Source organism: Homo sapiens, chromosome 1 (assembly GCF_000001405.40).
Source record: "Homo sapiens chromosome 1, GRCh38.p14 Primary Assembly".
In the NCBI taxonomy this organism is placed as follows: domain Eukaryota; kingdom Metazoa; phylum Chordata; class Mammalia; order Primates; family Hominidae; genus Homo; species Homo sapiens.
This window is the reverse complement of record NC_000001.11, coordinates 164,670,307-164,692,501: the sequence shown is the minus strand read 5'-3', so window position 1 is coordinate 164,692,501 and position 22,195 is coordinate 164,670,307. Positions and strand designations below refer to the sequence as shown.

The window sequence follows — 22,195 nt, the reverse complement described above, 5'->3', positions numbered from 1 at the left end:
GGGGTGGGAATGGATGGTTGTGTTATCTATAAGGGGTCCCATTTCCTCCACGAAAACCTGCCTCATTATATCATAGTTCACACCCTCCCTTTCATTCATCCCCACATCCATTCAACCTATGTTTGTTAAAAGCCTGCTATACTCAAGGCAATGGGCTGAGTGACAGCATAAAAAACACTAAAATCATTTAAGTGCATCTATGGCACTTCTGAGTTCACACCATCCTCACTTACACTTACCCTCATGATATTCACTTCTGCCTGGGTATGAGCTGCCTATGGCCACTTCTGCCTGCGTATGAGCTGCCTATAGCCAGCTGTCTACGTACACTTTGTATTTCCCACAGCATATAATGTGGTACACACAAGCACGTATACAGGTTTAGTATCTCTTATCCAAAATGCTTGGGTCAGAAGTGTTTCGAATTTGGGATTACTGTCTTCAGATTTTGGAATTTTTGCATATACGTAATAGTGTCTTGGGGATGAGACCCATGTCTATACACAAGATTCATTTGTATCTCATATAGTTTACACACAGACCCTAAAGGTAATTTTATATAACACTTTAATGATTTTGTGCATAAAACAAAGTTCTGACTATGCTTTGACTGTGTAGTCACCTGAGGTCAGGTGCAGAATTTTCCACTTGTGGCATCATGGTGGTGCTCAAAAATTCTCAGATTTGGGAGCATTCTGGTTTTCAGATTTCCAGATTGGGGATCTGTGGAAGACACTCAAATATGCCTGCTAACTTGAGCTGCTCACAGGCAAGAAGTCTTATTTTATGGTGACGCAACATCAGTTGGGTGATCTCAGACCCAGCAGCCTTTCTACCAGCGCTTGAGAAAAGCCAAGGTTGCCTGCAAGCTCTCTGCTCTCTATCAGTGCCCTGTGGTAGCCCCTAGCCTAGAAGACGCTTCAGCCTCAGGTGTGTCTAGATGGGACTGAAAGAGAATGGGTCTGTCTATAAGTTCTTGCTTGGCAACTGGAAGTGATAGAGCTGGAGGAAGGAAGCTTAGAACACTCTAAAACACAGTTAAAATTATCACAGAGAGAAAATTACTCCTCATAAGGAAATGTCATATGCCCACAGTACTCTAGTGTGATTTGTATTATGTCAGGATGTGATATTCCAGATATTCCAGCACCAACTATGCTAGACAACTTTTCAAGATTAAACAACTCTCGCCGGGCACAGTGGCTCATGCCTGTAACCCCAGCACTTTGGGAGGCCAAGGTGGGAGGATCACTTGAGGCCGGGAGTTCGAGACCAGTTGGCCAACATGGCGAAACCCCATCTCTACAAAAAATACAAAAATTAGCCGGGCATGGTGGTGCATGCCTGTAATCCCAGCTATTCAAGAGGCTGAGGCAGGAGAATCACTTGAACCCGGGAAGCAGAGGTTGCAGTGAGCCGAGATTGCACCACTGCACTCCAGCCTGGGTGACAAAGGGAGACTCTGTCACAAAAAAAAAAAAAAAAAAAAAGATTTAACAACTCTTGATCACTTTACAATGCATCCTTGAGTTGCCCTTCAGAACCCCCTGCATTTTAAGGATTCCCCCTCATTTGGGCACTCAGGGACTTTGTGACTTCAAACTGTAATGCAGCCAAGCCTCTCCGAATCTCCACCGCATCATCCGTAAAACAGGGGGATGATTCCTAGTCTACCTGTGTTGTCAGATGCTGATGAAAATCAAACAGGTTAACATATATTGAATATTGGTGTGATATGATGAAAATCCAACAGGTTAACATATACTGAATATTGGTGTGATATGAAAACAAAATATATTACTGGTAGTAGAGTATTAGCTCTGCATTAAAAAAGAAACAGCAACAACAGAAAAAAGATTTTTTTTTTTTTTTAAGAAAAGCTTAAATTTTTTCTTCTTTTAGAGACAGAGTCTTGCTATGTTGCCCAGGCTGGTCTCAAACTTCTAAGCTCAAGCAACCCTTCTGCTTCGGCCTCCCATGCTAGGATTACAGACATGAGCCACTGCGCCCGAACAATGTATTCTTTTTAAATAAATCATTTCAAGGTAAGGACTGACTAATCACATGCAGCCGTTGCTTCACAACTCTAGAGAGACCTTTCCAGCCCCTTTTCAGAGTAGGCCTGACAACCACTTCCAAAAAATATAATTGTAAATGTTAATTCCAAATGCAAGCACAGAGGCCTCTCTATTCTTCCCCACCAACCCTTTCACAGCAGTCTGTCTGTCTGATCCGCTTTCTTTCCCAGAGATCCACAGGCCCCTCCCTCTCCCACCCCCATCCTGCATCCGATGTGGCAGAGATAATGAAAATCTGCGGCCTCCAGACACTGGAGAGCGAGAGCACAGAGGGGAGGCCGAGGAGGAGCCGGTCAGGATGCATGTAATCAGAAGGGTTATCTAATGCTAGTTTCATTCTAATTGAGTCAGTACCATATGTCACCCTGCAATAACATCGCAAGCAGCATGCAACTGAATACATATTTAATTCACATAATGGGTACAGCAGTAGAAGTAATCAAGGCAGTTTGCCATAAGCCATAAAGAAATGTAGCTTGTTCCTATCAAGAAACATTTGGCACTTAGGGAGAGAACTGTATCACCAGTGAGAGGGGAACTGCATTACTGAAAAAGCTCAAGGGGAGGGGGAGGGATAGGTGTAGGGAGCAGGGCACGGGGAGAGAGAGATGAGGACAGGGAGAAAGAAATGAAAGAATGAAAACACCAAAGAGAGCCAAGCCAGAACATCGATTCACTGAGAATGAAAATCAATGAAGGAATATTGTCAGCAGATCGTTGGCCATCTCAGTGTAATTAACAGTAATGGATTTATTGGCAGAAGCTTAATGATTTAACGTTAAATGTGCCCCAGAATTTCCTGTGCAATCGCAGGTCCTTCTCATTCCCTCTTGGGCCAACCCATGTCCCAGGAAATGGATATAGCTATGGAGGATTAAAAAAATTTCTTTTCACATCTCTTCATCTGGATTGGCATCTGACAGAAACCTGCTCGCCCATTCCCTTCATTTCCTCCCTCAAGGAGATGATTAATACGCCTGGGCAATGCTCATCAATATCTTTGGACAGATCAACTGGAGTTTTCATTAAACCCATATTAATGTCCTAGATACACAGCTGTGGACAGGTTATTCTGGAGGAAAAAAAAAAGAAAAGAAAAAAGAAGAATGAAAAAGAAAAAGAAAAAAAAACCTTCCACTTCAGTTAACTATTTGCCAAGAATTAACAGAAACCTGGCCCCTTCCCTCATTAGGGCTTCTTCCACCAACATGTTTTGATGTATATTTCATGAGGATAAACAAACATTCATTTCACTTTGGGAAGGTGTTTGCCGTAATGTATTGTCAGCGTACCCAGCAATGAGGGGACATTAATTTCAATTCTGGTGTTTAAACACTTTGGCGAGTCCCAATTACTCATTCCCCAGCTCGATAGGAGCCCTGGAGGAAGGTCGTTGCCTCTCTGCGTGGCCTGCGGCACCAAGGGGAGGCGCGACGCCACCCTCCAGCCAGACACAGGTCTTCTTTGGCTGAGAGAGCAGGGATGAGGCAAGACGGGGTTGTTCCCTCCTATTCCTTAGTCAAATAGTGACATGAAGGGCCACTTCAGGGAATACCCAGACTTGCATTACAGCAGTTTCCATGAAAGGCTGTGTGCAAAGAAGAGTTCAGGAAATCAGATCCTATTTTTTTCTTAGCCCACATCTGAGGATGACAATCATTTAATAGAGAAGAGCAAAGCTCTGAAATCTCCTAGAAGGGGAGATATTGGGGGAAGAATGGAAAGTGGCGACAGAGTCATGTGTTGTTAGGGTCATGTGTCATTGATGAAGACCTTAAAAAAGAGGTGTAAGAGGTCATGGCCCTGGTGTGAGTGGGGTTAGGTATGGCATGGTGGCAGTTTCCAGCTACCTCATGGCTCGCTAGAAATGTATGTGGCAGACTTTCCATCTTGCAAAGGATTAGAGATGGAAATCCCATATATCACATGAGCAAATGCGGAAGTAAGTTTTGCAATGCTATGGAACTGAAGAAATTTCAGTTATTATTTTTCAGGTATGGTTCCATTTCTGACAGCACCTGCAACTTTATTAAAAGTTCTTCAGCAATGCACCAACCTCTCCTTCAAGTTGTAATTGATCTGTACTCAAATACATCAGAAACTCTCTCTACTTATAGGAGCTTGCTACCAAATACTTTACCGAACTGAGGAATGTTTTTTAATAACGTGAATAATTATCCTCAAGTCTATCTGAACAGTAATTTCCAGTTAATGATAAAGTGTCTAAAGGCGGATGCACACGTTTCAAAGATAAAGCCCTAAGGTTGAGAAAATGACGATGAAAAGATAGCATGAGATGCATGGTCCTTGACATGAGGGGAAAAGAGCTGGGAGAGGCAGGTGTCCCCCGGGCAAAGGTCTTTGCCACAAAGATTAGTTCCTAGAGAGCACCATGGTTGTCGCTAGGGGAAGAGCCTAGGGCATGTGTGGTATCTTGGGCATATCATAACAGAGTCTCAAATAGGTCTCCACTGCAGGGCACAGCTGGGGAGAGTTAGCAAGATCTGAAAACATGAAACCAATAAAGAGAAAGAACAACCCACCTGGTTCTTATCAAAGTTATTTCTTCTTTAAGTGAGTGCTAAGTCCAGTTTCTGCATATATAAGTTCTTCGGAAAGAACTCAGAACTAAGTGCCAGAAGCCAATGCTGGTTATGTTACTAACTGTATGGCTGGTCCACCTCATATTGCCAATAAGACATCAAATACTCTTAAAACCTTGCGTATGTTTTTGGCTTCATTCAGATGTGCAACGAGAATCCCTGTAGCCACATAAGCTGGGCTGATACATAGTCAACACCAGTACAAGTGGACCAGAAGCTAGACACTAAACTATTTCCTTTTTTTTTTTTTTTTTTTTTTAGACAAGGTCTCACTTTATCACCCAGCTGGAGTGCAGTGGTGCAATCATGACTTGCTACAGCCTCGACCCCCAAGGGCTCAGGTGGATCCTCCCATCTCAGCCTCCCCAGTAGCTGGGACCATAGGCGTGCCCCACCACACCTGGCTAATTTTTGTATTTTTTGTAGAGACAGGGTTTCACCATGTTGCCCAGACCGGTCTTGAACTCCTAGACTCAAGCAATCCTCCTGGCTCAGCCTCCCAAAGTGCTGGGATTAGAGGTGTGAGCCACGTGTCTGGCCTGAAATACTTAGATACCAGTTGATAAACAGTTGTGCCTTACACTACCTCTCCACCTCCAAATGCCAACCCCTTTTTGTTCCAGCCTCTCTTCCTTATGTTCCAAGGATCTAAGAGTTAAAGTGTTAATACTCTGCATACAAAAGGTAGTCTTGAGGACCATGCTCCAGAACTATGGCTGTTGTCCACCCTGACTTGCTGGTGCCCATGCCACCATGATTGTTATTAAGTAGCTTGAGTTCTACTTTTGCATCCAAGAATTACGAAAGGTCAATGCATCACTCATTTGGTTTTGTTTTTGTTTTCGTTTTTTTGGTTTTTTTTTTGGGATGCAGTCTCGCTCTGTCGCCCAGGCTGGAGTGCAGTGGCACGATCTCTGCTTACAGCAAGCTCTGCCTCCCAGGTTCACGACATTCTCCTACCCCAGCCTCCCGAGTAGCTGGGACTACAGGCGCCCGCCACCACACCCGGCTAATTTTTGTATTTTTAGTAGAGACGGGGTTTCATCGTGTTAGCCAGGATGGTCTCAATCTCCTGACCTCGTGATCCGCCCGCCTCAGCCTCCCAAAGATCACTCATTTGTTGAACAAACTTACCCATGGCTGAAGATGTACCTGACCCATGCCTAGGAGAGCAGGAATATTAAGTGGTAACCTTGTGTCTCCCATTGATTCACTTCTGTGAACACAAGGAGGAATCCCTTCCCCATTCTATCATCCAACCTCTCCTTTCTACCTTCTGATACCTTAAAGTGCCTTTCCTCCTGACCATTCTGGGGCTGCTGCCAAGGTAAGTTCTTATGACCCATTTGTTCCTGATGCCACCTCTGCTGCATCTGTCCTTGTTTTCACTCTGTTTGATTCCCATCAAATGGGCCATGGAAGTTTCCCAAGAAGCCACACCAAATAAAAATGACAGGTTTGGCAACAACAGAGAAACCTGGTAAAATGTTGATATTTGACACAGCAGAGAAACTGGGAAATGGGTGAACAGTTTAGTCACAGATCAAAAACCACATACTCACAGGTTCCAGGTGACCGAACACTTTCATCTGAAAAGAGTACAGTGGTAATCACCATAATAATAAGGAACATCATTTAGTGAGCACCTACTGGGTGTTAGGCCTTTACACATATCCCCTCATCTAATCCTTGTAAGTTCCCCGCCCTGTAGGTAGCTCTCCCCTTAATAGATGAATAAATGGAGGGCTGGAGAAATTCAGCAGCATTGATTGCCAATGTCATCAATAGTAAATATCTGAAGGAGGATTCAAACTCAGGTCTAACTCCAAGGCCCAGACTCTTCCCCTGGGTGGTGCTGCACTTTGTAACACTCACCACGGGGGAACAGGCACCTAATGTTCTCCAGCAGAAGCTGCAAGAAAACCATGGTCTGAGGTTTTCTCCAACAGATCCTGAACTCTCACTGCCAGGAGGGCGGCCTGTGTGTATAGAATGCACTTAGCCTTTGGAGTCATACAGTCTGAGTTCCTGTCCAGGCTTTTTCTCTCACTAGCTGTGTGACTTTGGAATTAACTTAATTCTCACTTTTCCCTTCTGAAAAAGGGGAAATGCCTACCCTCTGTTTCAATAATTGAGAACTGCTGTAATAATTGTAAAAATGTGTATAAAAGTCCTAACACTGTTGCTTGTACAGGGAGGCTTCCAGTGAATACTAACTTCCCTTTTGTCTCTGGACCCTCTTCCCTTTGCAGGGGAAACAAATACTCTCACATTATTTCATGGCTGTAAGAGGTGGGAAGGGGGACCGAGTGGAGCAGAAATCTGGCTCAGATGTTCACTGGGAGGAAGTGGACTCTGCATTTCTTCCACCACAGGAAGCATGAAGGTGTTACTAATTTGTTGAAGTAAACTTGTCTGGGACATTTTGATAAGCTGCTGCTATGCTATTTTTGTGGGCTAAAAAGTACATTTTTCATATAAATAGAACTAAAAATAACAACAACTGTAATAATGCAAAGAGATACCAAAAAAGCCATTTCCACCTCATAGGAATGAATAGCCATGACAGCAAGAAACCTTCAAAAAGCAGGCTGTTGCAAGGTGTGAATAAAACACTGGTGGAATCTGCCAGTGATGCTTTTGTATGACTTAGACATCTCCTAAAAGACAGGACTAGAACCCTGGATTCAGAAAACGAGGCCCGCGTCTTGGTCAGATCAAGAAACATCCTGTGTCCTTGAGGAAGTCATTAACCTCTCTGAGACTTACTTTCCCAATCAGTAATTGGTTCTTGTAATTTATGTCTAATTCCTAAGGTTGTGGTGAGGATTACGTGAGGTAACATATCTATAAGTGAATTTTCTTTTGCTTCTTGCTGAAGTTCCACACACAAGACTAAGTAGTTCTTAACCATAAAACGTTATATAAGGTTTATTTACTTTCAGTATTATGGAAATGAGTGCAAGCAAAATAGGATTATATTCTGTAAATATATCGGGAGGGGAACAAAGAAGTGCTATCGTCAAACACAGTGCCCCAGATCTTTTTGCCAATACAAGGTGACATAAGGACTCTGTCTCAGGAACCTCATGGGAAAAGCACTCCCTTCCTTTTTAAGTGATTTCTGAAAGCAGAGGGTGATAATTCTCTTTTCATATTTATTATCCTCAGGAAGTAACTTCTTCATGTATCTTGATGCTCAGAGAGGTCATTTGGGTCTATGAATCTAGAACACTCAGAGAAATATCTAAATACAGTCTTTTCAGTGAAAGGACTGGTCAAAGAAGAATCCTGGTCTGCCTCAAATACCTGAGATCCCTATTTTCAGTGTATTATGGCATCTAAAATTTTTAAAGCATTTTTTTAAGCCTGCTTCTCAAAACTTAGGGAAAGCAGTAAAGCATAGATTGCCTTTTATCTCCCTCAGTTTTTCAGAATTCATAATGCATAAGAGAGGTCAAAGAATAAAGACTTCTTTTATTTCTACAATGCTTTCACAAAGTGTCCAGAAACAGGGAAAACATGATGATAATGTTACCTGCCAGAGATAGGTAAGATCTATCTACAGATATACCTACAAAATGCAAACAAGACCCTTGAGCTTAAGGAATTCACAAGGATATTCATAAGGCTGCTTTAAAGGTAAGCATAGCTGTTAGATATTCTGTACATAAACAGGAAAGAAATCTTTAGAATAATTACAGGCTGGGCGCAGTGGCTCATGCTTGTAATCCCAGTATTTGGGAAGGCCAATGCAGGAGGATCATTTGAGGCTAGGAGTTCAAGACCAGCCTGAGCAACATACTGAGACCCCTTCATCTCTATGAAAATCTAAAAAATACATAAAATTAGCCTGGTGTGTTGGCACATGCCTATATTCCCAGCTACTCAGGAGGATTGCTGGTGCCCAGGAGTTAGAGGCTGAAGTGAACTATGATCACGCCACTCCACTCCAGCCTGGGTGATAAGAGTGAAATCCTGTCTCAAAAACAAAACAAAACAAAACAAAACAAACAAAATCCAATAAATCTTAAAGTGATCCCTCATCAATACTGAAAAAAAAAAAAAAAGACTTCACACAACACAAGCACATCTCAAAAGCAAAATTTGACAGTAAGTTTCTGGACCATGTTCAGCAGTCAGTCCTTAACTAGTTTATTCTAAGATGGGTCCGCATTAAAAGTGAGAGTGTGTATGTGTTTTGGAAGGTGGGGTGGTAGTTCCTGACACATTAACAAGGTGATACAGAAGAAAGACTTAGATTCCATTCAGATGATCTGGTTTTGAAAACCAGTTCTACCACCACCCAAGTAATCTTAGGCAAGGCACTTAACCTCCTGGAGCCTCAGTTGTCATACATAGGAAGATTAATGACATGTACCTGGCTTATCTCCTTTGTTGCGTAAGTCAAGATAATAAAAGTGAAAGAATATGGCCTGTTAGAAGAATCGCTGGGCTTGAAATCAGAGAGTCCGGGTCAAAGTCTTATTTTAGACACTTTCTAATGACCTTAGGCAAATTCCTTGCAATTTTGGGTTTCTTCTTCTGTAAAATGGGGCTATTTCTTCTGTCTCAGGACATACCACTTGGGATCAAATGAAAACACCTGATATGAAATAAGGAAAGCTATACACCACCACACAAATCTGAATGCTATTGACTGATACAGGGCCATGCAAATACAGGATGTTACTGTTATCTGCTTACTAATACATATCAGCAGCTTTGAGTTTTCAACCAAAATTTGATGATGGTTGTAGAATCACCACTCTCTTGGAGGCTTTCTTTCCCTCCATCCTCTGCGTCAAGACATGCTTAGTAAATAGCTTTCCACATCAAAAAACTCACAGCCTGGGTTCTGAGCAGTACTCGCCTATGGGAAAATAAGCAGAATGAAAGAAAAGGGCCTGACAACTCTAAGAGCTGCTCTGCCCTTGCAAGGATCCCATCTGCAAGGAAGGGAGGTATGAGGGGAGCAAAGGAAGAACTCCTTCCGTCGGCACAAGTTGTTTCCCAGGGACGAACTCTGATCCATGACGGGACTCTGCAATGGCAGCAGCCACAGGTTTTATGTCCCCGAGCACAGTGGCCTGATTACTCAGTTACCAATTCCATCAGCAGCCTGAGGAATGAGGTTGCTATTTAACAGTAGAAGAAAAATAAAGGTAGAACCTAAGGCCTGGTGATCCTTAGGGCACATAATTAGTTTCTCTTTTTTTTTTTTAAGTTGAAAGTATCCAGTTTATGGGTACAGTTAAGAGTTAATAAAAACAGCAACTATTAAATGACTAAAAGACATCATTCCTAAAATAAAAGCTCCTTGAGGTCAGGAGGTTTGGTTTTGTTTTCCTTATTTTGTTTACTGATGTATTCCAAGAACAAAGAACAGTGCTGGCATTCAGTAGATGCTCAATAAGCATTTACTCAGCAGACGGATGGATGAGCTGATGAACAGGTTCTTCCCGTGGGTTCTGGAAGAGCTGTACCAAAACCAGGCTTTTTTCGAAATACCTGCAAAAAAAAGTGGATGATTCCAAATCCAACTGAAGTGTCTGCTCTCTCTCCAATTCAGAACAACCAGAAGGGCCTGTCTGAATTAGTAATGCATTAAAGAAAAGTAGGATTATTATATTCCAATTCTTTCCATCAGATGTAAAACATTATTGGTAGATCACATCTGTTTTAATAAATCTGTAAGAAAGACGTGTAATTATAATTATGTTACCATTGTATGTAAATGGCATTTTAACAAGACATATTAATACATTTTTATAGAGTACTTACAGCATACACTACAGAAATACTTAAAGGTGCTATTTTGATTGCTTGGATTCTTAAACGTTCCCTCTGAAGTCTTTACATATTAGTGTATTTAATGTTTCTTCATTTCCGGGTAAATATTTTTACCAGTTAAGACAAAGGCAAATTTGAGTTCCCGGGACCAAATATCAAAACATTGAGGACAAAAGGGTTTAATTTTTTTTTAACTTTTGTTTTAGGTTCAGGGGTGCATGTGTAGGTTTGTTATACAGGTAAATTACATGTCATGGGGGATGGGTGTATGAATTATTTTGTCAACCAGGTAATAAGCATAGTACCTCATAGGTAGTTTTTCAGTCCTCACTCCTCTTCCACGCTCCACTCTAAAGTAGGCCCCAGTGTCTAGGGTTTAAACTAATGAATGTTTTTACAATTGAGTTTTCATTTACTTTCTATGTTCTGGCTTCAACAGGTTACTGAAGCTGAGTCTCTCTCCTCACAGGCATCTAGGCCTGACAATCAGCTGTGATGATGTATCTTTGAACAGTTGTATCTCTAAGAGGAGGCTATAATTAACCTTGAAATTAATATCTTAATATATCAAAAGTCAATTGATTTATTTTAAATGCTTAGTTTTTCAACTCATTTTTCATTTACTTTCTAGTGTTCATTCCCTATGATTAAAAATACATATGAATATGTATATACAGGTATAAATGTACATGTTATAAACATACATACAAATTTCATTTTCTATTACCTGAGCACAAAGGAAAAAAGTAAAATCGGCTTTCTTTTATCTAGTTCTTAGGTTGAGTTTGTATTACAAAGAAAATGATTTATTAATGTATTTATTTGAGATAGGATCTCACACTATAGCCTCGAACTCCTGGGCCCAAGCAATCCTTCCACCTCAGCCTCCTGGGTAGCTGGGACTACAGGCACGCTCCCATCATGACAGGTTAATTTTTAAATTCTTAGTAGAGTCAGGCTGGTCTCGAACTCCTGGGCTCAAGCAATACTCTTCCCATGGCCTCCCAAAGTGCTGGGATTACAGGCATGAGCCACCATTCCTGGCCAGGAAAGGGTTTTAAATTAAAAATGCCAGGCTCACACATAGTAGGTGTTCTGTAAGTGTCTATAGAGTTATGAATTAAGAATAAATTAGAAATAATGCACAGAAACCTAAGGAACTGAGAGTTTTCGTTTCGTTCAGCCTAGGGAAGAGAAGATGAAGAGGTAAAAAATAAGTCTTCAACTATTTGAATGCAGGAGAGCAATAGATTTATTCTACATTGTGTCCAAAGGGAGACCTCAGACAGAATGGGGAAAGTTCCACTGAAGCAGATTCAGTTCACCATGAGAAAAAACAGCCTGTTTGATGTATACAATAGCCTAGCTGCATTTTTTTGTAAAATAATAATTATCCTGAAGGCTCCTTTAAGATAGAAGAATTTATGATTCTGTGATCTTCTTTCCTATTTCTAGAAGTACTTAGACAATATTCAGAAACATTAGCAGCCCTGTAGCAGTCATTGTAGTAGTGGTAGATCCACTGCATAAGAGTATAAAATCAGATCGCTTTATCTGTACACCAAACCTCAGCATCACACAATATACTCAGGTAATAAAACCTGTATGTGTACCCACTGAATCAAAAATTAAAGTTGAAAAAGAAAATAAAATCAGATCCCTCATGAATCTGTAATTCTAAAGTTGTAAATGCTCTCTCTTTCAGATATCCCCAAAACAGGAGTATGGGCTTTGCTTAAAATTTTTTAAAAAGGTAAATGAATATAATAAATGTTTGCTTTATAAACCTCTAGAATATAATTTTTAAGTAACTAAGTTCTAATTCCTTATGAAATATCTATAGGATCTGACTGAAAATAGATTTTCCTTCCACTTTCATTAAACCATGTAGGTCCATCCTACCAACATATAGCTATACGAATATACAACTACAGGCCGGATTTCCACATGGAATGGACTAATATATCTGCTCTACTCCATGGTCTTACTCTCGCTAGGAAGGAAGAAATTGTTAATTAATTCACGTGACTGATATTTCCAACAACACTCCTTTGTCCAAATAAGATCACATCAGTCAGTTTTCAGACAAATAAAAAAAAACCAGCAGGAGTTTGGAGTCATAAGACATAATTTGTGAGCTTCATTTTTCTGAGCCTCAGGTTTTCCATCTTTAAAATGAGGGGTGATCAATGTTTGTCCTAAGTACCTATTTCACAGGGTAGTTATAAAGATCAAATGAGAACACAAACATTAATGAAAACCTATAGTGCTACTCACAGGTGCATAAATTTAGAACATAACTGTGAAACATACGATAATAGCAAATTTTGTCTCCTAATTACTTAGACAATGCTTAAATGAATACAACCTGTCTTCTTTTTCTTAAGATTCAATACAGGTGTTGGGTTTCAGATCCAATGACCTTGGATTTATTGTTGTAGTTGTTGACAATCTGATGATCTCAGATTGTGACTTTATAAATAAAAAGGTCAAACGAAAGGGGTCTGCCTACTTGCAGCAAAAGCCCACAGGATTGCATACACTGTGTCCCATCACCTGTTTTCAAAGGAGCCTTTCCACTGCATCATAATTTTACTTGTCTCCTACTAAGGTCCCCAAGACCTGACAGCACCCCTCCCACCCAGTAGACTGCTCCCACTGTGATGTCCACAGCAGCCGATGGTCTCAGTAACTGTCTCACTGTCTTCATCCTTCCGCAGTGCAAACAAACTAACAAAAAGTGCAGAATTTGGCAAGGGTTTTGTAGTCTTCCATCTCTCTACCATCATTTCCTGCCTGGTGACTCTTCTTTAACCAGATAAAAAGGCATCATCCAGCTAGCCCAGCCTAGGAAACAAATTATTGGATGTGGTTAATTAAGAGTATAAAAACCTATGTAACGTTTAGGGGAAGAATGAGTATTGGGAAGAAAACCGATGGATGGTTTTTATATTTATTGGCAAACTCATTTCTGAAAACACTGGTCTTGATACAAGAAGATACATGTAGAATATGAATTTAGTGTTTTCTCCCTCTGCCTATGTGAGGATAATTTCCACACCACGTACGTGATTTTTCTGGAGTCTCAGATAAATCTAAATTAAAATAACCTTAGAGCTCCTCCTTCTTGCACCTCCACACAGGTCTCCCCTGGAGCTTGGAATGCATCTAACAGATGCCCTAAGAGAAAAAAAAAAAGTTGTTCATAAAACTACCATGCCGACTGAGGATGAGAGAGTGGCGTGTGAAGAAGATACCCTTAGCTGTGGTTTCCTTAGCACTGTGTTGATAGTAACAATCTATCACCTTCTTCTTTAATAAAGAGGGGTTTTGCTGAGATAATTATATAAGTGTACATATTGGCTGATGAAAACTAACAGATTACAAGACATAGGTTAAATTGTTGCAGGGATGTGGGGTTAGCCTTCCCCTAAATGGGCTGTGGCAGCTGGATGACTGGTTCCCAAGACTTTTCACTCAGGCCTTGGTTACCAGCTCATGTTCTCAGCCAGTCACGTGAAGAAGGCCAATGGCTCTGCTCATCAAAAATGCAATTTCCCACACATGGAGGACAATAGCACAAAACTATTCTCTTTCATTGCCAAATGAATTGTGTTTGGTAATCTGAAAGCATCATAAATTATAGAGACACAGACCCGAGGAGGATTATGCCTTCTATGCTGGCTGTGATACACAGAGAGCCTTGTGTGGATACAAACAGGGCTGGCGGCTCCTGGGTACACAGAAAAGGAATGCAGAGCTCAGGAGCTGAGTCCATCATATGGCCTTCAGCTTTGCGTCTTTTGTTCCTCTATCTGTTCCACCAAAGGACATCCTCATCCTATATAAACATATGGATACATGCGCAGTAAACAATTCCATTGGATCACCCCCTTTCACTATATCTCCTCTGTTCAAGAACCCACAATGATTCCCCACTACCAATCACATCAAGCCTACCATCCTTTCTTGAGTTAAGGTACCATGTTGAATTGAAAAGAGGTTGGTTTTAGACAGACCTGGGTGTGCATACTACCCATACATTTTCTTTAAAATGGAGCCAATAATACTAAATGGATAGGGTTTTTAACAAAATATATGTGAATTACCTACTTAAAATTCCCTTTGCCTCCTCTCCATAATCTGACCCTACTAATGCCATCCTATTCCATCACTACTGTAACCTCAAATCTGCATCACGGCCAAGCCAATCCCCTCATTGTCACCCTCTTCCCTTGCCAAAGTACTTCCGTGCTTCCTTAGTGCTGGCTACTATCCCCTCTTACTACACCATGTGTCCCCACCCTGCACACACTAAGATTTCTATGTATCTGTTCCTGCCCCATTTCTTCACCCCATCCCTACCTCCTCTCAATGAAGCCAACCTTAATTTTCATGAACCCCAAACCACTGCTTTTGTCTCTGAAATATCATTATACTTTTAACCCATGCCACATAATTATCAACTTCATTGAACATTATCATCTGTGGTTTACATATTTTAGTCTTTTCTTCTGAACACTAGAAGTTCCCCTAAGGCAGAGATCAGTTCTTATACTTTTCTTAAGGATCCCACAGCACCTTCAAAATTGTAAATGGTGCAAATGATGGCGTTTTGTAAAATGTCAAGCAGTAAGGCCGGGCGCGGTGGCTCACGCCTGTAATCCCAGCACTTTGGGAGGCCGAGGCGGGTGGATCATGAGGTCAGGAGATCGAGACCATCCTGGCTAACAAGGTGAAACCCCGTCTCTACTAAAAATACAAAAAATTAGCCGGGCGCGGTGGCGGGCGCCTGTAGTCCCAGCTACTCGGGAGGCTGAGGCAGGAGAATGGCGTGAACCCGGGAAGCGGAGCTTGCAGTGAGCCGAGATTGTGCCACTGCAGTCCGCAGTCCGGCCTGGGCGACAGAGCGAGACTCCGTCTTAAAAAAAAAAAAAAAAAAAATGTCAAGCAGTATATGCAAAGAAGATGCTCTTATTTGTCATAAACCATGGGGACTTGCCTGGAATCATGTTGAAACCTTAGAATTACCTTCCAGTTGGGAAAAAAAAAGGTAGAAACTAGGCCAAGAATCCTACCTAGAATGTCCCACTGGGTATGACAGTGTTGAGATGAGCCTGACACATTAGTCTTATTTAAAAGTAAAAACATTCCAACAGTCATTCCTTTTAGGTAGTTGGGTAGCACATTCATTTAAAAGCAGACCTGAGCCCCCTCAGGGCTCAAGGTTTGGGCAAAGGAACACTTGGCAGCTAGGGAGTGAATGACACTGAGAAAACAGCAACAAGGACATTAATGCGTATGAAGCAGGACAGTTAAATAGTTTCAATGTCACTTAGCTAGCAAGTTAGGGGGCTGCAGGCTTTGAACCCAGGCAATGGCACTCCAGAGGCTCTCCTCTTAAACGCTTCAATTATAATCCATTTCCAGATCTGGTGTCTGTGCCCAAAAAGCTGTTGACCATAAACTCCACACTTGTGGCAGCCAGGCTCTGTGGCTTGAGATTTTGTATCCTATCCTTAGCAACCATCTTGCTTGGGCATGGTGTTCTAGTTTCCACCTGTTCACACAATCCTGCCTCTCGGCCTTGCCTTCTTGGTTTGACGCTTTGGCCCTCCTGGATTTGGTTTTACTTTCACACCTTGGTTCACCCTCAGTTCCATTCTCCTACTATCTTGAGGAGTAGGAGAGCTAGACAGACCTACTCTATGCCTACTACATAAATCTAGTATCTTAAGGTGTCTGCTTGTTCAGGAAAGGATCTGAAAACAGAAGGAATTAAATGTAGAAGCCCAGGCACTTGGTCTGGGCAAATATAGCACTCATAGGTCCATGGAGTCCCCAGGTCATCCCAGGCAATTCCAAGACTAATTTGTTAAAGCACAAAGAACGCAAAATGCCTCCATTTCCTTCTTGCACCCCTCTGTGCAGTAAGCTACTTCAATCCAGCTCTCCTCTATTAAGGTGGGCTCAGGAACTGGGGTAAGGAGACTGGGTCTGCAAACTGCACGCGTTCATACCAAATATAAAGGGCATAGCCCTAACAGCAAGGCATGATGGGAGAGGTCCTAGTGAGAAAAGAGGGTGAGAGGTTACCAGACTCAAACTGCAAGAGTAGAGAGAGACCTGGCACACAGTCCACACAGAACACGGGCATGCACAAAAAGTCTAAAACCTAGTCTGATGAAACATAGAAATCTCTAGTCTGATCCCCACCAAGATCTGCTTGAAAGTTTTCATCTAAGCCAGTGTGGTGGGATATAGCACTAAGAAGACAGCAGGCAGTCCTCAGTGTCTGGGGGCGGGGTCTGGGTTTCAGTCCTGGAGCTTATTCATAATGGTATGAGTAATACCTGGTAAAAGGATCTTGTAGCCATAAAGGCAGTAAAGTGCATGATCCCTCATAATGGTGGGCAGGTAAGAGGTGAGATAAATCAGAATAATTCCTGATGCCCCTTACTGATGAAAAAAGTTCCCACCCACACAGCCTGCACTGACTCTGGCTGGCTAGGCCTGGGCGGTGCTAGGCAGGGAGGTGGTAGCAGGATGAAGCAGACTGCTGCCTCCCCCAGAGAGGAGCTAGGAAGACAGACAAACATGATTATTATTAGTTTGATACAAAAGTAATTGAGGTTTTTGCCATTGAAAGTAAGGCAAAAACCGCAATTACTTTTGCACCAACCTATAATACTTCTTAAGTGAATGGTAAGGGAAAGACATGTCCTATTCTCTTCCATGTCAAGGGTCAGGTGACAGAGGTAGAATAAAGATCTAGAAGGAAATTTATATTTCTATTCCATTTCCTTGAATGAAATGGTTTTATACTTTTTCACCAAATTCCTAGGGAAAAGATCTGGTGGCATCATCTGTCAACCCAGGACCAATAATTAAAGACCTCAATTATTGTCCTGGTTCTGCTATCTACCAGCTGTGTGACATCAGGCAAACCATTCTAGACATCTAAAGCTCAGTTTCCTTATCTTAAAATGGGGTTAATCATATTTCCCTTGCCAATCTCTTTGAGTTGTTCTGAGAATCAAATAGCAGTATCAATGAAAGTATTTGGCAAACTATAAGCACCATGCTAAAGAAAGGGTTATTTTCACGGCTACCATAAAATCATAACATCATTCCATCAAGTTTAAAGATCCTCTTGGTGGTGGGTGGGGGGGGGGGGGGGCTGTGATTTCTTCCTCTAACTAAATACTCACTGTCACTTTTTGTCTCCATTAGGACAGGGTCAGTGGCCTCCAGGATCAGCTGGATTCAGTTTGAAGCATTCTTCATTTTTTCCAACTTGGTAGAGTGGGTAGTTTTGCTCCCCTGAAGCTATGGCACACTGGGTGGTTTCTAAACTCTGGCAGCTTTTGTAAAAATTTCTGCCTATTTAGTTGGCATCAGCTTCTTAATAGTACTTAGTGGTTCAGAATTAATTTCCCCACCACAGAATTATCCAGGACATTCCATGCCCATTTATAGTTTTCTCAGGACTCCTTGGCTCCTAGCTTTCACTCCAAAGCCGTCAACTGTCTCTGTAACTGGAAAATGGGTTTTGGTGGCAATTATCAAAAAGCAGATGTTGCATCCCAACTCAGCAAAGCAATGGTGACTTTGGCCAAGCCAAGAAAAGTAAAGAGCAAGGGAAGAAAACCATGTGTATACCAAAGCCAGAGAATCAACTAGATTTGTACTGAAAACACAAAGACACTATGGCTCTTTGGTTTAGAGTCAACTCATCCTTCCTCTTTGTCCATGTGTAAGTCATGACCCCAGCATAACCAGACTTGATGTTGCAAACGGGAACCTGTTTCTAGAAATAAGCTACTTGGGGACACAAAAAAGAGTAGGAAGACTCAACCATAATCGACTTGAGGACCACAGACATGGAGGTTTACCAGGGACTGATGGCTAAAAGGCAAACAAACACTGACACCTGGTGAACGGCCAGCTGGACGGGGAACTGGCTCATGTTAGAAACTCTATGTTCTGTATGTACTGGCGTCTTGTTTTCAGCTCATAGTCATTTCATCTCTGTGCCCCAGTTTCCCAATGTGTAAGCAGCGATATTCATAGCCCCATCCCTTTACTTTCCCTACAAGGGAGTAACGAATAAAGTAGCAGCTATCATTGTGCTTTTGTAGCAGAGGACAAGGGGACTCCAGAAGCTCCAGAGACCAGCAAACCACAAGTCTGTCGCTCTGCCCCCTAGTGGCTGGGGGTAGCATGTGCCGAGAGATCCGCGTGGAATCACGGCATTCCCATAAAAGTTTCATCTAGTTGAGAAGTTTAGGGTTGAAAGAAATGTTTTCTTTGCTGAATTTACAAAGTCAAAATTTAAGCAGATTCCTAGGAGTTAAGTTTCTTAGGGCAACTTAAAAATGTTAGTAACTTTCGCCAGGCGCGGTGGCTCACACCTGTAATCCCAGCTACTCAGGAGGCTGAGGCAGGAGAATCGCTTGAAGCCGGGAGGCGGAGGTTGCAGTGAGCAGAGATCCCGCCACTGCACTCCAGCCCAGGCAACAGTGCGAGATTCCGTCTCAAAAAAAAAAAAAAAAAAAAAAAGTTAGTAATTTTCCAGAAGAAAAAAATGCCAGAGAGGTTGGGCTGATGAAAGCGGAGAGACGTGGTGGCCCCTGAAGCTTGGACTCACTAGAGAACAAGTTGTCTCCTTTGGGAGAAATCCAGGTTCTGGGCGCTCCCAGCCCCACTCCAACCCTTTCTGGGGAGCACTGGTTACCTCTTAGTATAGGTGACAAACACCCCGGTGACTAATCTTCCAAGAAAGCCCCTTAACTGTGTTATGCTGGGGTTTTTTTTCAACCTTAATATAAAACATATCATATACTATGATCATTTTCATGGCATTTATATATCTGTTAGCATGTATGTATTGTATGGATTTGCTTGGGTTCAAACAGGTTTGCTGGAATCCCTCAAAGAAGGACCCTATATAAAAACTCAGAACTATATTACATACACATGGACACCCACATCTGAGTGAGCTCAATGCTTTGGTGTTGCCCTTTTCAGTCAAGTACAATTGTGGCTTTAAGATAGCAGGAGAAATTAGACAGAGAATAAAAGAAAAAAGAAAACAAAAAAAAGAAAGGAGGAAAAGGATGACATCTCACTCCTGCCTTTGAAGTGGTTACATATTTACCAGATGAATTTTGAAAGAACAAATTATGGGTAGTCCAAAAGCCAAAGGCAATGTGAGGAAGGACACTCCCCAGATAAGAACAAAAACAGAAATCTGTATGTGCTATGTGTTACACACAGTTGCGAATAATCAGATGTACACACATGATGCAAAGGCACGCCGCTACACATTTATGTGATATTCAGACATATGTTCAAATAGAGGAGGTGAATATCTTTTTATAAATACAATTTAGCAAGTACAAGAATGCTGATCAGCTGCAGCTCAAGAAGAAAGGGGGAAAAAATCTTATGGAAATTATTAATACTCCAAGAACCTCTAAGACTCAACCTGAATGCAGACACTTAAGCTCTCAGCTTTGCCATTAAAGCTGGGGCCTAAATTATTGATCTCTTGCCTTTATCAGCATAACAGTCACGTCTCAGTATCGAGATCTAAGTACACTGCGGTCCCTCTGCTGCAGCCACTGAAATAATTAGGAGAAATTCTCATTAAAGGAGAGTGAAAGGTTCAGAGACAGAGGCAGAGCACAGGGTCTGGAAGGGTGTTAAATGTCTTCCATGGGGTCGAGAGATTACTGGGATCAAGTCCCCTGAGCAGTGCCCACCGATGACAGCTTATCAAAGGGAAAAAGTACAACAATAAACACATGCAGTGGCCCTCTCTGGTGTGTTTACACCCATGAGTATCTATGTAGAGACAGACACGCTGCAGAGAAATCACTCTCCATGACTGTTCGTATACAGGGAAGAGAGCTGTTCACAGAGAGAGAAGGGAGGGCTGTATATGTGGTGTGTCAACAGGGGAATAAAAGGGGAAAAAAAAAAAAACAGAAAGAAAAACAACCAGAGTAAGAAAAATGCATGAAAAATAAATAAAAAGAAACAAATTAATAATGAAGAATCCACGGTGGACTCTCTTCAATTTAATTTATTCATTCTTTGAAAGTACAAGAGGGTCTGGAGAAGAAAGGGAAGGTAAGGCATATGGGCAAGCAGGCTCTGTCTGATGAGCTCCCAGTTGGGCTGGCAGATACCAGGATAATATATACCACTGACTCAGACACCCACACTCACACAAAACCCTCATTCCAAAGGCGCAGAGGCTTTCTATTGATTTGAATGCAGATTTAACCTGCTTACTCTTAACCTCCCCCACCACTTACCACTCCCTGCCCCCCAGAAAAAATCAGCCTTACACACATGTTCCCAGAAATGGCCTAGACTTATGAGGAGGAGAGAGCAAAGGACAGAGAACAGCCTTTCAGAAATCATACTGATGGAGGGAAAGGGTAACGACAGGGGAAACTAAAGATGAAGCAGGCGGTAAAACAGCAAGGGAAAGGGCAAGAATGAACACAAGCCTCACACCCAGCTCCAGGCAGGCACATGCACTGGCAGGCGAGTGTATGCACATGCATGCACTCACACACAAAGTTTGCCCATCTTTAATGTCAACGTGCAGTCATTTAAAAGAAAAATTCCACCTCACACGGCTAATCAGAATTGTTAGAGAGACCATTACCACCAACACTGGAAACATCTGAAATTGATTATTTTTACTTCATTTCATTAATGAAATCCTCCAGCAACCAAGAACTAGCCCTGGACAAATTTCTATATAATGAAAAGGAAAAACAAAACAAAAACCAAGAGTAACTTCTCTGACTTTAAAAAAAAAAAAAGGGCTATCTTAGCACTTGAAAAACACATATATATTTGTTTTGTGATTTCTGTCGGTGCAGAATAACTGAATCGAGCTGAAATCTGTTCCCACCATTTTGTGAGTGGAGACATTAGCATGGACCTCACATCCCATAAGGAGCACCACATCATTAAATGTCTTGGGCTGGTGCATGGGGAAGAGAAATGCGGGATGTCACTGGCTGATAGGGAAGAAGACTTGATGTTATTTATTAGGGAACACTTACCAGAAACTGCATTTTCTCCATTTGCATTAGATAAGGCACTGCTGCCTTTGCAAAGTGCACACGGGCGCAGGGACACAGGCAGAAAGAAAACACCCCTTCTGATCCTCCCCCCAATGCTTTGTTCACTGTCCCCTCAATCTTAACGGCATCCAGGCCTTGGTTTACAAGAAGCCTTGCCCTATCACTTTCTTTTTCCTCTCTCTGCTATTTTCCTCTCTCTGCTATTCTCAGTACTCCATTTTTCTGCCCCAGAGTTGCTTTATGCCTCTAAAAGCCCCTTTCTCTCTCTTAGTCTTGGCAGTCTTGATACATTCAGCTTCAAATGCTCTCTTGCCTGCTCCCCATCTACCTCTCAAACCTGACCCCACAGGCCTTCAGTCAGCTGGCTATTGAGATGTCAGAATGTCTGCAAGGAAAGGCCGTAGCAGCAGTGCCTATAGGTGGATTTCCCCTAAATCCATAAATACAGGAGTCACACGGGGTGGAAAGGAAGGAGGGATAGCTGACATACATATTTTTTAATGAGAGTAAGGGGAAAACTGAGTTAAGGCTTCCAGTGGAAGTGCTGAAATTTCCCACCAGGGTATTCTCCTGGAAAGGGATTGAGTGGGGAAGCATAATTGCAAAATCC

General features: G+C 42.0%; 1 protein-coding gene across 11 annotated transcripts in view, besides 1 other annotated feature; it reads right to left on the bottom strand.

The window, feature by feature from the left end:
• The window catches only part of PBX1 (PBX homeobox 1), a 326,864-nt gene that overhangs the window by 193,546 nt on the left and 111,123 nt on the right, over positions 1-22,195 (bottom strand). The gene's annotated exons all lie outside the window — the stretch shown is intronic.
• Positions 802-1,302: an enhancer, noted in NCBI's record as "H3K4me1 hESC enhancer chr1:164660437-164660937 (GRCh37/hg19 assembly coordinates)". NCBI's record gives its function as "activates a minimal SCP1, AML or CMV promoter by ChIP-STARR-seq in naive H9 embryonic stem cells {active_cell/tissue: H9 hESC(naive)}" and the evidence as "EXISTENCE:reporter gene assay evidence [ECO:0000049][PMID:30033119]".